Source organism: Homo sapiens, chromosome 11 (assembly GCF_000001405.40).
Source record: "Homo sapiens chromosome 11, GRCh38.p14 Primary Assembly".
NCBI lineage: Eukaryota > Metazoa > Chordata > Mammalia > Primates > Hominidae > Homo > Homo sapiens.
In genome coordinates this window covers 71,661,360-71,663,217 of record NC_000011.10, presented here as the reverse complement: position 1 = coordinate 71,663,217, position 1,858 = coordinate 71,661,360, and positions in this window count along the sequence as shown.

Sequence of the window (1,858 nt, the reverse complement as noted above, 5' to 3'; positions counted from 1 at the left end):
CTCTAGGATAGACTTCACTTCTGTTCAGCAATATCTTTAAGCATCACAAATAAATTCCAAACCATATTTGCTAGAACAACTGACTTTAAACCTCTTACATATCTCAAAGCCTCCCAAACCCATCCCTAGGGGTTTCAGAGCCCAGAGTTGAGTTCTCTCAACTCACTTCCATCTCACCCCTAGATCACTGTACCTTGACCCTCTTCCTCTGCCTTTCCCATCTTATAAGGAGAAGCATCCTTCTCCTTTCCCAAGCTACCTTCTCCACTTGTGCCTCATTTGAGACCTCCCTTTATCACCCGTTCCCTTGGAACTCCCATGACTCACCACCTTCACTTGTCTTTTCACTCATAAATATTTTGCACCATGTATGTGCCAGGCGTTTAACATAGAATCATGCTTAAGTCTCTACATGCTAACAAGAAAAACCTTGATTATCCCTGCTATACCCTCAAGTCATTACCTTCCCCGCTCCTTTCCTGTGTTCCCAAACTTTGTTGATCTTCATCAATCCCTCTGATGCAGATGGCTCCGAAGTTTGCACCCTATTAGGTTGGTGCAAAAGTAATTGCGGATTTTACCATTAAAAGTAATGGCAAAAATAGCAATTATTTTTGTACCAGCCTAGTAAATTTTCTCCTTCTACCAAACTTTGTCCCTGAGCCATCTCATCACCTATAACTACCTCCTCCATGCAGTTGATTCCCAGATCTCTATTATTCTACTGAAAGTCCATTCCCCAACGTTCTCAGCTAGGATAACAGAAGCCCAATTAGAATTCATGATACCAGTTTCCCACCACCACCACCACCACCGTCGCCCTGCCATTGTTAGCAAAACCATCTCTTGAGTGGAGCTCAAAGATTTGTAATCTCCCACTCCCCAGAAAGATAACTTCAGACTCAGCCTAGAAGTAAAGATCCTCCAGATATGGCCTCAACTATGCTCCAACCCATGTCCCCAGCACATTCCTTTGATGCCCCCTTCAATGGAGTTAAAATGGAGTGAGTGTTTTTCTTTTCACATACTCCTGGTGTTCTTCCAAGAATACAATTTTCACCTCTTGAATATTTTCAATAATTCTCCATGATACACACAGTGAAATCCAAACTCCCCATCAGGACCCCAGTCTTCCCAAATGCTCTTTGCACTTTTCTGCCTCCATGATTTCCCTTGGGTCATCCTCTTCTCTAATATAACCTTGTGTATTACTCTAGGTTCTCCAGAGAAAGAGCAGAGAGATAGAGGTAGAGCTATACACATAGAGAGAGACAGACTGATTTGTTGTAAGGGATGGCTCACATGGTTATGAAGGCTAAGGAGTCCTGGAGTCTGCAGCCAGCAAGCTGGAGACCCAGGACAGCCAATGATATAGTTCCAACTCGAGTCCACATCTAAAGTCAGGAGAAGATTGATGTCCCAGCTCAAATATAATCAGGTAAAAAGAGCAAATTCTCTGTGACTCTACCTTTTTGTTTTGTTCAGGCCTTCAGTGGATTGGATGAGGCTCACCCACTTTGGGGAGGACAATCTGCTTTATTCAGTCTACCAATTAAGGGTTATCCTCATCCAGAATACCTCAGAGACACACCCAGAATAATGTGTAGCCAAATATCTGGGCAGCCCACAACCCAGTCAAATTGATACATAACACTAACCATCATGTCTTACTTCTACTCTCTCCCCATTACTGCATGGCCAAATCCTTCCCTTATTTCAAGGCTTAGTTCAAATGTTACCTCTTAACTAAGCCTTCCCTGCTAACCCCAAATATTAATAGAATTGGTGTCTCCCTTCTCTGATGTCTCAAAATATGTTGTGTTTCTCTTTTACTGTATTTATTACAAACTCCCTTATA